Source organism: Homo sapiens, chromosome 7 (assembly GCF_000001405.40).
Source record: "Homo sapiens chromosome 7, GRCh38.p14 Primary Assembly".
NCBI lineage: Eukaryota > Metazoa > Chordata > Mammalia > Primates > Hominidae > Homo > Homo sapiens.
Genome location: NC_000007.14, coordinates 4,121,338 through 4,135,378, shown reverse-complemented (window position 1 = coordinate 4,135,378; position 14,041 = coordinate 4,121,338). Strand labels below are relative to the sequence as shown.

Below are 14,041 nucleotides of genomic sequence, written 5' to 3'. Positions count from 1 at the left end.
CGTCTGGGGTGCAGTGTGAATGCGCTCACCTTTCCTGGTGAGCACTCCCCAAAGTGGACGCACAAACTCCCGCTCCTGGCAAGGGTGTAGGGGTCTTGTTTCTCCAGATCCTCATGTAAACTTGGCATTATCACAGCTACTTATGGTGCCAAATCTGGCGAATGTGAAATGGGATTTCATTGTGGCCTCAATTATCATTTTATAGTGCTCTTGTCATCGGAAAAAGAAATGTCAGAGACAGTCTGGAAAGTAAACGACAGATGATAAAACCAGCTGATGGGCTCAGTGGACAGCGGGCCTCACTCCGGCGGGCGTGCTGAGGAGAAGCCTCACCAGGTAGACACGTGCAGGGAGCGGGGCAGTGAGGACCCGGGGCTACAGAGGACATCGGCGTGAGTCCTCAGAAAGGGCAGATGCCCTGAAGTGGGTGTCAGGCAGAGGGCGGGGCCTAGAGCCGGCTGAGGCCAGAGCCTCCCCACGTGTGCAAGGACGCCCTGGGTCAAAGTCACAGTACTGGAATCTGAGCACGCGTCCGTCTGTGGCAAGAGAGAAGCACAGATGAAGCACATGCTTTGCTCCTGCACCGCTCCCACGCCTCCGCACTCCAGAACTGATCCTTGGCAGCCCGGTAAGCTGACAGTGAGTGGACGGAGGTGACCATAGAGTGAGGACTTGCCGGGAGGGTCTACCGAGGCCGGCAGTGGGAGCCAGGGGCCCTGCCAGGGTGGAGGTGGGGCTGGGGCGAGCCTGCTTCTTCACGGGGAACACTGTTGTTGTGGACTCCTGTGACTCTGTCAATGTTTCTTGTTTCACAGCATGCTGGGGACAGCTCCCGGGTAATCAGATATTAGCCCTGCTTGTTCCAGAAAAGGCTGATGCCTGGGTGCTGTGCTGAGGTTAGGGCCTGCCTGGGTGGGGCTCCTGCAAATCTCCTCGCCACAGCTGTCTGCTGGGCAGACCATTTCCTACCCCAAGACTGGGCTCACTGCGCAGGCACCAGATGTGGCTCATAGCTCCCTCTCCGCCGGGCCAGGCCCTGAAATGCTCACCTCCAAGGTGGCTGCTCAACTGAGATTTTAGTAGCAGGAACCCGCAATTCCAAAGGTCACCTGATTGAGAAATGCCGTACTCAAAGCCAAACACTTCTGTCTAGCAACTCCAGAAATCACATAAAGAAAGAGGCAAAGCGAAAATAGGTCACAGCCTCCTTGTGCAGAAGACTTAGGAAGCTCCAGGCCCCCTCTCAGGGAAGCAAGGGCTCAATAAATATCTGACTTTCCGTCCACCCTTCTCAGGCTGCCGGAGTGATTACCTACAAGGCAAATCTGATTGCGCAGCTTTCCCACTCAAAGACCTTGGATGAATTCCTGCTGCCGTTCAACACAGGCCTCCAAACTTTTTTTTAGTGATGTGAAACTCTTTCTTCAAACCAAGTCTTAGAATCCTAAGATCAAATGCAGGCAAAAGTGGTGAATTTTACCACCTGTTTGTAAGTCTGGGTTTATAACTTTACCGTAAATCACCTAGAACACAGGCTAGCCGAATCGGGGTGTCTGGTATGGCAATATCCCGAGAGCTAACCTGGGGCTGGGGCAATGTTCTGTGGCTGCTGCACTTGCCTCTAACAGGCCAGTTTAAAACGTCCAGGTCTCAGGGCCACATTCTCCAGGACACAGCAGGGAGCTCACAGTAGCTCAAGACCCGGCCCAGCCTCCATCCCCAGCCTTGGAGCTGTCAGTGCTCCCAAAGGCTGAAAGCATTCGGTCTTGGCTGAGTGGACAGCCCCCTTCCCTTCTTCCAAGGCTTTAGAAGCCACCTATCTCCAGATCCCTCTCAAAAGGAGACTTCCACCCACAGAGACCCCACCCAGAAGGAGCTGTGTGTGAGGCACTGAATGAAACCTCTTTCAGATGGCTTATCTCACTGTACTCTCAACATGTGTCTCCCTTACGGGACTGTGGGCAACTTGAGGACAGGCACACCTCATTCATTCCTCACCCCCCACTGTACATACGACACCTGCACAGGGAAAGTCCTTACTTTGTCTCTGTGAAAGGGTGAATGAGTCAAGGAACTGGGATGTTTTAAAATAGAATTTGTTGCTTTGGGGAACGGAAAAATTCAGGCTTTTCATCTGTGTTACCAGAGTTGGTATGCTGGCTGTAATGCTGAAAAGTCAGAAGTAAACGCGTTCCCCGGGACCCAGGGCATGCGCTTCATCTCAGCGGCTTCTTACAAGGATTGGGTGCAAGTGCTGCAGCAGAAAGATGTTTCCAGGAACATGGGAACCAAGGCTAGGTCTGCATCTTCTCTGAAAAACTAGCCTGTTGTTTCTCAAACACACATCAACATAGCCTGATATTTCAGAGAGGAAGGGAAGGTCGGTTACAAACGGTATCGCCATGAGCCGCAAACGAATGGAAGAAATTCCACGTTAAAAAAATGTGAATTTCATTCCATAAGAAAAACCTTTAGTACGTAGCTCAGAAAACAGTCAAGAGGCCCATGATCATCTCGGTTCAGGAAATGCTAGGCTGCTGGAGACAGCCTTTTGTTTAACCTCATAAACATCTAACAAACACGGAAGACATCAACTTGATTGTTATTTCTCTCCTTTTAAATACCATCACTCCTTTTTTTTTCTTATTTTGGGGATAGGGTCTTGCACTCTCTCTCAGGCTGGAGTGCAGTGATGCAATCTTGGCTCACTGCAGCCTCAACCTCCTGGGCTCAAGCGATCCTCCCACCTTAGCCTCCCAAGTAGCTGGGACCAACAGGTGCATGCCATCATGCCCGGCTAATAGTCTGAATTTTTTCTTTGGAGAGATGGGGTCTCACAATGTTGCCCAGGCTGGTCTTGAACTCCTGGGCTCAAGCAAACCACCTGCCTCGGTCTCCCAAGGTGCTGGGATGACAGGCCTGAGCCACCACGCCCGGCCACCGCCGCTCCCTTACCCAGGATGATGCCGTTGGGCTCCTCCGGAGGTTGCCACACTATCCGCACGGAGGTGAGTCTCACTTCGGGGAACACGAGCCTCACTGGTGGGCCTGGGGCTGAAGGGAAAAACCACAGGGATTCAGATCTCAAGACAGTGTTCCTTGGGTGCGTGACAGGTTACACAGGATTCCGAGGGTCAGCTGGCTGCAGTAACTACCACAGGCTACACTGTCGTGGGTTTAGAACCCCCTAAAGTTTTGGACTGATGACTTTTGGAATGTCACTGGTAGTGTGGCTCCCTAAGGATCTTGAGCAAACACTTCCCTTTAAACCCTGCCCGTCTGCTTTCCAAGACTCAAAAGCAGGGTTCACGAACTATGCCAGGAATAGTGTGAGTGTAACCAGCCTACCAGGACACAAGTAGACCAGTCACTAAATGACTCTGAGAGCAAACATCAGGTTGAGAGGAAGGATTTCCCTCATCTGAGCTCGGATTCCCTTACTGGGTTTGACATCTGCAAAGCAGGTGGTAGATGAGGCGGCCTGAAGTTCCTCCCAACTCTAACGGAGGTTACAATTTCTGATGAAATAACATGTGTATCCTCAATCATTTCTCTCGTAGGCATGCCACCTCTCTCCTGCATCATCCTAGATAATTAAGAGTTGGTGTGCACAAATGCATATAATAATTCTTGTGTGTGGTTCGGGGCACCAATAACTGAAAAAGCAGCTAGGTGTGGTGGAACTGCTGAATAATAGGGTTGTGGCCCTCATAAAATACATTTACTTAAACGAACAGGCAAGTAAGTGTGTGGCCAGTATGAGAGCTTCTTGTTGGAATTAATAACTGACCGATTCCCAGGTAAGAGGCAATGGGCATGAAACAATCAATATCAAAATAAAAGGATGTATGTTCGTCGTTCTGGGCCGCTGACGTCTGTCCCTGGCTATGAAGCTGGGAACAGTATTTTAAATTCTGAATGTGTGTTATGACGCCTATTTTGGGGTGAAATAAATGTCTGTAGGAGGCCACAGGCTCCCAACTAGGACTAAGTCACAGATACGCAAACGCTGACTTCAGACTTAAGCAGCGTTGCTCCCCTGAGCCCTCTCCCAGGCTGTTTATGGGGATTATGCTGGAAAGCAGAGGAGGAAGGCATGTCTACAGGAGCGCTGTGGGAGAGGAAGCAGCGGCATTCCAGGACTCACCAGCGCCTGCTTCAGGAGGGAACAGTTGCAGTGGGCCTGCTGTTACACACAGTTTCTAATAGGCCCATTTTTACTTTCATCTGGGAAACCTGGAATACACTGGAGCAGGAGATAGTTTTGCAAGGAAACAACACCCACATTCCCATTCCCTCCTGGATCTCCCTCTAGCCTGAGACCTTGTGTCAGGGAAGGATGGACAAAGCCTTCTGCAGGGTTCCCGTCTCTCCGTGAGGCGAGGCGAGGATCAGGGGTGGCACTCTCTCAGCAACGTGGAGAGAGTGCTTTCCACTCAGCAGTTAAGAGGACTTTCGGGCTCATTTAGTTACTCAGCAAAGATGCTTAAGAAAACCTACAGGTGTTTCACTTCTTCAGCCACTCCGATCCCCAGGGTGGGTGTTGTGGCGGGAGAGATCCGCATTTCTCTCCCTGATGTATTCATTACAGTCTGTTTAATAATGAAAATGTAAAGGCGCTAACCTTTATGTGTTTGACATCTGCAGAGTGGGAAAACATATTTACCGATGATTTAGAGTTCCATGAAAACAAAGCTGGCAAGGCGTCCTTGTGATTCAGGTCCAGAAACTCAGGGAGCTGGGGACCCTGGGCCATCCAGCACGGGGCTTTCTATAACCTCTAATTACCTCCCACAATGCAAACAGTGAGACGGGGCAGTACCGAGGGAAGTAAGGCATGAGGTCCACTGTGGATTTTTTAAACTATAGTAGTCTCCTTTTATCTGCAGTTTCAGGCATTCCCTGGGGTCCTGGGATGTGTTGCCAGATAAGGGGGCACTACACGAAGTGTGTGGAGCCCCTGCCAAGAGGAGCGTCCACAGCTGACATCCACAGCTCGGCCCCGCCCCAGCCTCTGCTGCCTCTCCCCAGCACTGCCCACGGCAGAGTTATGAGGGAAACTCAGTACAGGTTCATAATTAGGCTGTAAAAATCCACTCCAGGCTGAAATTGGCCATATAAGTGCTCAGTGACTGAAAAACAATTTTGTTTTGTTTCCCTCAACTGCAAAAGAAAGTGGTTTGAAAATTAAGTTAAAAGCGACAACAATCCAAATTGTTTGCATTGGAAAGGCCAACCTGGGAGGCAGCAAGGCTCCCGAAGGCGCGAACCCTGGACCTACCATCGTCTTTGGTGCGCTCCAGGATGAGGGGCGTGCTGGGGACCCCGTTCCCGATGCGGGTGAACGCCAGCACCTGGAGCTCGTAGAGCACGAACTTGCGCAGGCCTGCCAGCAGGGCCGACTGCGTGTGGTTCCCTCGCACGATGTGGCTCCTGGGCTCGGGATCCAGGTCTTTGGCCCGGAACAGGATCTGTGGTATCGACACAGCACGAGGGTTATCAGGAGGCGGGTGCCAGGAGGGACCGCCGTGGCATGGGGCAGGCCCCCTTCGTGAATCAAGGCCCAGCCAACTGTGCTTTCTCCCTGAGGATGGCTGTGTGCAGGGCTTCTGGATCTAATTTGTCCATGCTGGCATTTGGGGAGGAAGGTGGTTGTAAAGTGACTGCGCTCCAGGGGAGCTTGAGTTAGTGCCCACGGCTTGGCGAGCCTGCTGCCTGGTCATAATCTGCAAGATCTGAGGGCCCAACTGCAGCCATGCCAACCACAGCCACTAAAACAAAGACTCGATTATGAACACAGACAACACTCTGCTTCCTGCCACAGGAGCCAGCAGCCCCCTGGGTTTTCCAGCCATGGAAGCTGGTTTCCTGCCCCAGAAGACCTGCTGTCCTCACACAGACCGGGAGCTCTGGCCTCCTTGGGCCATCTGCAGCTGTGCATGCTGTAGGTACCCCACCCCAAGCTGCTGTCCTCCAGGGCACCCCACCCCAAGCTGCTCTATTCCAGGGCACCCAACCCCAAGCTGCTGTCCTCCAGGGCACCCCACCCCAAGCTGCTCTATTCCAGGGGACCCCACCCCGAGCTGCTCTATTCCAGGGCACCCAACCCCAAGTTGCTCTCCTCCAGGGCACCCCACCCCAAGCTGCTCTATTCCAGGGGACCCCACCCCGAGCTGCTCTATTCCAGGGCACCCTACCCCAAGGTGCTCTCCTCCAGGGCACCCAACCCTAAGCTGCTCTCCTCCAGGGGACCCCACCCCAAGCTGCTCTCTTCCAGGGCACCCCACCCCAAGCTGCTCTATTCCAGGGGACTCCACCCCAAGCTGCTCTAGTCCAGGGGATCCCACCCCAAGCTGCTGTCCTCTGTGCTCTCCTCCAGGGCACCCCACCCCAAGCTGCTCTCCTCCAGGGGACCCCACCCCAAGCTGCTCTCCTCCAGGGGACCCCACCCCAAGCTGCTCTCCTCCAGGGGACCCCACCCCAAGCTGCTCTCCTCCAGGGCACCCCACCCCAAGCTGCTCTATTCCAGGGGACCCCACTCCAAGCTGCTCTATTCCAGGGCACCCTACCCCAAGGTGCTCTCCTCCAGGGCACCCAACCCTAAGCTGCTCTCCTCCAGGGGACCCCACCCCAAGCTGCTCTATTCCAGGGCACCCTACCCCAAGCTGCTCTATTCCAGGGCACCCCACCCCAAGCTGCTCTATTCCAGGGCACCCCACCCCAAGCTGCTCTATTCCAGGGCACCCAACCCCAAGCTGCTCTCCTCCAGGGGACCCCACCCCAAGCTGCTCTCCTCTATGCTCTCCTCCAGGGCACCCCACCCCAAGCTGCTCTGCTCCAGGGCCTCCTGCTAAGACCTCACTCAATGCCCACCTTCTCTGAACTGCTCCCTGAGATCGGGGACCTGGAAGGCCATAAAGGATAGCATCAGCAGGGAGGTGTTTGAAAATAGCACAGCAAGCGCGTTTCTCGGGGCCCCAGGAATGTGGTGTGAAGTTTTGGTCACTGAATCCCCTCAACGGGACTGCCATGTGTCACAGAGCCAGCAGGGCGCACTTAGAACACCCGGGGAAGGGAGAAGACATGGGAGAGCAGGCGGGGAAAACAAAGAATAGGGATGTGAAGTACGGAAAGGTGGAGGAGGCACGCTCAAAACCCAGGGAGCAGCACTGAGACAAGCGTGGCCTCGCTGGCCGGGTCCGAAACAGCTCATTCTGATGCTTGGCATTGCTGAGCCAAGGAGCAGATGGGGAGACAGAGCCTGTCGCCCCGAGTGATGGAACGAGGAACAGAAGGGGGTTTTAAAGGGGTGGGGTGGATGCATGGAAGATGGAACCCAGAAATGGCTCCCCAGAGAAGCTGGGACAGATTCAACCCTGCCAGCGGATGCCATTGCTAGGACCGTGATGACACACATAGAAACATGCACACAGCGATCCACCTCACCCAGCCCTTCACATGAGCAAGGCGTGCTGTGTAAAAGACCCCCTGAATTCTCACACCAACCCTGGGACAAAGCTACCATCGTTATTCCCGTTTTACAAGCGGGGAGACACAAGCACAGGGCTTCAGTAACTGGCCCGCGGCACTGAGGCCAGCGAGGGCAGAGTCAGGCGCAGGCCCGGAGGTCAGTTCCACTCCGGCTGTGCTTTTCTTCTGGTGCCCTGTTTTGGCATTTGTGTCATAGTTATACTGATGCCTAATTCCCAGGCTGCAATGAGGCTTAGATAAGACAACTGAATATCTTAATAAAAATCACAAACTGGCTGACGCTGCAGATCTGTAGGAGAAGAGGAAGCTCGTTGCTTTGGGGGAATAGCACATGCTCCCATTTCCCCAGCCCACTCTTTAAGCAAAGGGAGGTCATCCTGTGATCACACACCTTGTAGCCCAGTATGAGCCCATTCTGGTCCTGTTCCGGCACGGATGTCCATGTCAGTAAAATCTGGGTCGAGCTGACAGCCTCGGCTGACACGTTCTCAGGGGCGGCTGAAGGAACTGCAAAGAACCAATGAAGTAGATTAGCATCCAAAATCTAGAGTGTCTACATACAAAGATCCAGCTTTCACCCAAATAATCAAGTTGTCCTTGAAATAGCAACGTATTCTAAGCATTTTGTAGTGATCAGATTAAACCTACAGGAGTATAACGGACATGTAAATCTCTTTAATATTAGCAACAAATTCCATAAATCCTGGGTACTTAGCAGCTCAATTTTACCTGAGTCCACCAAGCAAGAAAAAAAAGATGCTTGGTCTGTTTGCTGTATTAACTTGTGGAAACTGCAGACTTTTATCTCAAATAGGAAATCCTGACTTTCAGACACATGCCTGTTCACTGACAGCTCTAAATGTGGTATTCTGTGATAGGGACAGGAGAAGCTGAAGAGAGAAGGGGGCGTGAGGATTTACACAAAAGAAGGGGAAGGGAGGGTAGGTTGACTAGGTGCTTATCCAGTGCCTGTCTGTGCCAACTGCCTTCAGTTACATAATTGCATCTAATCCCACAATGATCCCAATGAAGTAGGTATCGTTACCCCTTTTCTACCGATCAGAAAACTAAAGCTGAGAAAATCGCATTCATCCATTTCAATGAATGTTTTTCTAAAAGGAGATGGGCAGCCGAGGCCAGCCATGCCATTCTCGACCCATACACATGTAAGAAAATTTTCTTTTCTTTATTTCAGACTGGAGAGCAGTGGTGCGATCTTGGCTCACTGCAACTTCGCCTCCTGGGTTCAAGCCATTCTCCTGTCTCAGCCTCCCAAGTAGCTGGGATTACAGGCATGTGCCACCACGCCTGGCTGATTTTTGAATTTTTACTAGAGATGGGGTTTTACCATGTTGGCCAGGCTGGTCTCGAATGCCTGACCTCAAGTGATTTGTCCGCCTCGGCCTCCCAAGTGCTGGGATTACAGGCGTGAGCCACCACTCCCGGCCCACATGTAAGATCATTTTCTTACTTTCATGAAATCTCTCTTCTGTGTACAACATCACTGAACTAATTTGTCTTGATATGTTTGCACTGATTCAGATATAATATGTATAAAAGCAGTGAAACTTTAAAAACAAGGGTATTATATTCTAGACAATCTCCATTTGCTTTGTTAATTTTCTTGTGGACCGATTTAAACTTCAAACACCATTCAGATAGGAAAACCTGGACCTGAGCTAGCCCCTAGCAGTCAGGGAAGGCCCTGTTTATAAACAGCATGGAGGAGCTGCTCTCAGCTGGGACTGAAGATCCCGCCATACTTCAGGGCCCCCATGGTTGAAAAAGGAGGAGAGACACTTCAAGTCCACCATATCCCATTCGGGGGTTCACTCTGCAGATGAAGCAACGGAGGTTCTGGGAGGATACTGTTTGGTGGCAAAGTCTCCTTTTGAATCAGGTGGTCTCCAGGATACCCAGGGAAATAGCCTGGAGTGATGGAGTAAGGCCGGACTCAGGGTGGGAGCTGGAGATGCTGCTCTGATCACCTGTGCCTCAGTTGTCCCACTTGTGAAAGGCTAAGCCTGGCCTACCTTCCTTACTTAAGAGTCTTCTCACTCTCCCCTCCTGGTGGTCAGCACTTGTTGGTCAGCAGGTGATCAATAGCTAGTTGTTTTGAAGAAAGTGAAAGGAGGATGCTATGACCAGTCCTAGCCTTTAGAGTGAGAATGAAAGCAAACACTGAGGTGCCTGGTAGGGCACTGGCACACAGAGGTGAGTAGAAGCATCTGTTTCCTTCTCCTTCACAAGCCCTACTAGGGCTCCAAGAACAGCAGGATGCACACATGCACCTCTGTAGCAGGAACACTTGCGAGGACTTCCTCTGCTCTTTCATAGACCCACTCATCTATCCATCCAACCATCCATCCATCTCCATCCATCCATCCATCCATCCATCAATCAATCCATCCAGTGATCCATCCATCCATTCATCCATTCACCCATTCATCCATTCACTCATCCATCCATCCATCATCCATCCATCTATCCATCCATCCACCCACCCATCACCCATCCATTCATCCATCCATCCATCCATCCATCTATTCATTCATCCATCCATTCACCCATCCATCGATTCATTCCTCCATCCATCTATCCATCTACATATCCATCCATCCATCACCCATCCATCCATTCATTCCTCCATCCATCATCCATCTATCCATCTACCCATCCATCCATCCATCCATCCATCACCCATCCATCCATCCATCCACCCATCCATCCATCCATAAATCGATCATTCCATCTTTCCATCCATCCATTCACCCATCCATCCATTCACTCATCCATCCATCATCCATCCATCCATCCATCCACCCATTACCCATCCATCCATCCATCTATTCATTCATCCATCCATTTACCCATCCATCCATTCACTCATCCATCTATCATCCATCCATACATCCAATCATCCACCCATCACCCATCCATCCATCCATCTATCCATCCATCTACCCACCCATCCATCCATCCATCCATCCATCCACCCATCCATTCATCTACCATCCACCCATCCATCCATTCGCCCATCACCTATCCATCCATCCATTCACTCATCTATTCCTTCAGACATTCAGACTTCCTCATTACACAGAGACTGAGAGGGTAGCACTGTTAGTTAGTCTGAAGACAGAAAGTAACATGGTGGGGGGCTTGCACAATAATGCAACCTATGACATTTAATTGCAAGATTTTCTACACGAGAGTAGTTTGATCTTTGTTATGGCTTGAACCTGTGCCCCCTGAATCCTTATTTTGTTATCCTAACCTCCGGTATCTCAGAAGGTGACCTTATTTGGAGACACAGTTGTTGCAGATGTAACTCGTTAAGATGCGGTCATACTGCATAGGGTGGGCCCCTGATCCAGTATGACTAGTGCCCATATAAAAAAAGGAATTTGTCCACAGACACACAACAGGGAGAGTGCCATGGGAGGAGACAGACACACACAGGGAGAACTCTGTGGGGACATGGGAGAGAGGCTGTCCGAGCCACGGAACCACCAGATGCTGGAGAGGGGCCCAGGACAGATCCTTCCCAAGCTTTCAGGGGGATCATGGCCCTGCCAACACCTCCAGCTCAGATTCCACCTTCCAGAATGGTAACAGAAAACATTTCTGTCATTTAAGCCACCCCGTTTGGGGCATTCTGCTATGACACGAACACAGTCTTTAAGACAATGCCAGGGTTCATGTGCATCCTAGAAGAGCTGTTCTCATGCTGTGTGGGAAGCTTCTCGCCTCACCACCACAAACAGGTGTTTCCCTAGACAAGGGAGGGGCGAGAAAGGACAGCCCCAAAGCAGGCCATAGCCTAACAGGGCCAGCGGCTGAGGATGACTAAGCCTCAGGACGCGAGTCAGTGGCCTCACCGCAACCCTCACCACACCCTGTGGGGTCTCTGAAACCACAGAGGAACCTGCAGAGCAAAGGCCTGGGATGCCTGCCCCCAGGAAGGGGCACGCTCCCTGATCCTGAGAGCCCTGGGAGGCAGCATCTCTCCCTTCCCTTCTCCCCCTACCATGCTGAGCACCTTCCCTGCATGGACATTAGATCGGCTGCTGGGTGTAGGTCAGTGAATGTGTCCACAAAATAGAAAACCCCCAGTGATGCCTGTCACTATAAAAACACTGTGAGCCCCCTTCTATTTTTGGAGGGAGATAATGCCAGCCAGTCCAATCTTCCCAAATATGTCAGTTGAGAGTCATTCATTCAGTTACTCAGTGCTTCTATGAAATACTATCCATTTATTTGAGTAGAGAGGTGTCACGGAAAGGGAATACTTGCAATGTGAAGTTTGCTCAGTTCTCCAAAGAGGAAGGGGGCTTGTCACAGATGCAGCCCCAAGTCCCTGGTGCCTTCCAGCTGTGGCTCCACCCGGCTCACTCCTGCTCCCTGGGCCTGCACAGAGCTCCCATAGGGTGTCTTAAATGCCACCATGGCTGTTACCAGGAAATGGCTTGCACATTGCTCATTTTATACAAAAGTTTGATAAACTGGGACCTTGAATCAACTATGAGCTAAAGGGGGCACTAACATTAAAAAAAAAATGTAAACCTACAACGTATCCGAATATATTTAGAATAAGGTAAGAACACCAAACACTGTATGCCCAAGACGTTGGTACCAGGTTCTAAAACCTCTGTCCCTGTCTGCAAAAAGAGAGGCCATTGTCATAGCAACACAAATGGTCTACTTCTGTAATCTTTAACTGCTTCCTGTGGGAAACTGTGAGTGCCCAATTCTCCCTATAGACCTACAAATCACAGCTGTTTTTCTAAGATGTGGTGGGATGAGCAGGTATTTACTGGAGAGCCAACCCCGTCCCTGGAGAAAGAGGGCAACCTGGGGATTGCAGCAATTCGGACACCAACGGGGCTTTGAACGCAGCTGAACTTCTCACGTGGAGATAGGGAGGTGAGGCAGCTAAAGCAAAGAAAATGGCAGAGTTCAGGATGGAAATTTCAGCGCATTTAAATCCTACGAGGACAAGATCTGCCATGGAGTTGCAAAGTTTTCAAGAATTGAAAAAGAAACCTCTTACCCATCATCTATTTTGAAGTAGATTCAACTCCCTTTCCAACCTGACATCTTACGTTTTGAGATGTTCTTGGGAATTCCCCTTTCATTAAAAACAAAGCCATTCCATGGCTTCTTTTCTCCTTCATTTTTTTCTCTCCCCTCTGTAGGATTTCACACTATGCAGCTCACTGTTCCTCCTCATGTGGTCTCTCTCGGTTTTTAAGGCCTCATTTATCCTTAGAATATATCATAATATATCATAAGATGTCACAGAACCTGTTAAACTGCACTTCAAAACTGTAAACTTCATTGAAATGTGGCTCCGAGCATTCTGCTGTGTGTTCTCTGCGTGTTTTCAGCACTCCTGCACACTGGGCCATTCCTAAGCTCCCAGGAGCTGCTATTTCCATTGAGGGGAGACTTATTTCAGACAAAAGGCAGTTGTTTTATTCTCTCTCCAATCCTTCTCCCTCTCCATCAGGTCCACTCACCATTCAGCCCTGGCAACCCCTTCACCTCCCCATCTCATCCCTGCCTCCCCCCATTTCAAAAAAGGATCGAGTTTTCTGCTGGGGAGAGTAAGTTTCAGATGTTAGTAGGGCCAGGGAAGGCCCAAAGTCAAAACTGCTGCACCTGGGAGGGCCTTGCCAGTCAGAGGTGGGGAGATTCCCAGAGAAGAAGGCTGTGAAATCTCCATTCTGATGAGCTAAACACAAGGAGGGGGAGCGGAAGTCCTGCAGCATCTGGGCCCCTGAGATTCCCCAGGTGGTAGGACGGGCAGAGATGGAGCACCAGCACCAACCAGAAGAGAGACTGGTCTAAGAGGGGTCCCTGGGAGCTCGTTATTCCAGCATTCAACATGTCCAGAATCTGAATCATCCACATCTTGAAATGAAGATCAATAACCCAATTATAAAATTTTTGATGGAAACACGTGAACCAAAACTTTTTTTCCCAGAGCAATATGTGTTGCACCAGTTTCTAATTAAACACACATTCAATTAGAAACTAAAAAATACCCTTCCATAAGCTATAACCCTCAAAATAAGAAAGAATGTAATAACTGACAAAACAAAGCTTCAGTTGCAAGAACAATTCCTACTCTTGATCAAAATCCTCTGAACAAGTGAACAGAACATGAACTATGAACAGAAAAACAGTGAGGCTGATACAGGGGATTCTGCAAGGGCTCTATGTGATTCCCCTCTAGCCATATGTATCAGTCCATTTTCACACTGTGATAAATAAATACCCAATACTGGGTAGTTTATAAAGGAAAGAGGTTTAATTGACTCAGAGTTACACATGGCTGGAGAGGCCTCAGGATTACAATCGTGATGGAAGGTGAAGGGGAAGCAAGGAACTTCCTCACATGCCAGCAGGAGAGAAAAGAGAGAGTAAAGGAGGAAGAGCCCCTTATAAAACCATCAGATCTTGTGAGAACTCACTCACTATCATGAGAACAGCATGGCGGAAATTGCCCCCATGATCCAATCACCTCCCACCAGGTCCCTCCCTT

General features: G+C 50.6%; 1 protein-coding gene and 1 long non-coding RNA gene across 7 annotated transcripts in view; one reads left to right on the top strand and one right to left on the bottom strand.

Annotated features, from left to right (window-relative positions):
* The window catches only part of SDK1 (sidekick cell adhesion molecule 1), a 967,749-nt gene that overhangs the window by 133,622 nt on the left and 820,086 nt on the right, over positions 1 to 14,041 (bottom strand). For 5 of the 6 annotated variants that reach the window (NM_152744.4, XM_047420038.1, XM_047420037.1 and 2 more), the window contains 3 exons: positions 7,883 to 7,998; positions 5,282 to 5,471; positions 2,956 to 3,054 (listed from right to left, as the gene is read on the bottom strand). In NM_152744.4, the coding sequence (NP_689957.3) occupies positions 2,956 to 3,054; positions 5,282 to 5,471; positions 7,883 to 7,998 (405 nt within the window). Of the gene's footprint in view, positions 1 to 2,955; positions 3,055 to 5,281; positions 5,695 to 7,882; positions 7,999 to 14,041 lie in introns of those variants that run through there. The other variant, NM_001079653.2, reaches the window with a different exon arrangement.
* Positions 542 to 7,767, top strand: LOC105375131 (uncharacterized). The gene is made up of 2 exons (NR_158215.1): positions 542 to 628; positions 4,890 to 7,767. It is a non-coding gene; the product is annotated as an uncharacterized LOC105375131 (long non-coding RNA).